General features: G+C 50.8%; 1 annotated feature.

The window, feature by feature from the left end:
* Positions 271–524: a silencer, noted in NCBI's record as "fragment chr6:4694403-4694656 (GRCh37/hg19 assembly coordinates)". NCBI's record gives its function as "represses an EF-1alpha promoter that drives an FKBP-Casp9 reporter gene in an ReSE screen in phorbol 12-myristate 13-acetate-treated (for megakaryocytic differentiation) K562 erythroleukemia cells {active_cell/tissue: K562(+PMA)}" and the evidence as "EXISTENCE:reporter gene assay evidence [ECO:0000049][PMID:32094911]".

Here is a 524-nt window from a genome sequence, read left to right on the forward strand (position 1 = left end):
CGTCTCTGTCACCCAGTCTGGAGTGCAGTGGCACAATCTCAGCTCACTGCAAACTCTGCCTCCCAGGTTCAAGCAATTCTCCTGCCTCAGTCTCCCAAGTAGCTGGGATTATAGGCATCTGCCCACGCCCAGCTAATTTCTGTATTTTTCTTTTTTCTTTTTTTTTTGAGATGGAGTCTCACTTTGTCTCCTAGGCTGGAGTGCAGTGGCGTGATCTCAGCTCACTGTAAACTCCACCTCCCGGGTTCATGCCATTCTCCTGCCTCAGCATCCAGAGTAGCTGGGACTACAGGCGCCCACCACCACGCCCGGCTAATTTTTGGTATTTTTAGTAGAGACGAGGTTTCACCGTGTTAGCCAGGATGGTCTCGATCTCCTGACCTCATGATCCGCCCGACTCAGCCTCCCAAAGTGCTGGGATTACAGGCGTGAGCCACCACACCTGACCAATTTTTGTATTTTTAGTAAAGACGAGGTTTCACCATGTTGGCCAGGCTGGTTTCAAACTCCTGACCTCAAGTGAT

Source organism: Homo sapiens, chromosome 6 (assembly GCF_000001405.40).
Source record: "Homo sapiens chromosome 6, GRCh38.p14 Primary Assembly".
Classification (NCBI taxonomy): Eukaryota; Metazoa; Chordata; class Mammalia; order Primates; family Hominidae; genus Homo; species Homo sapiens.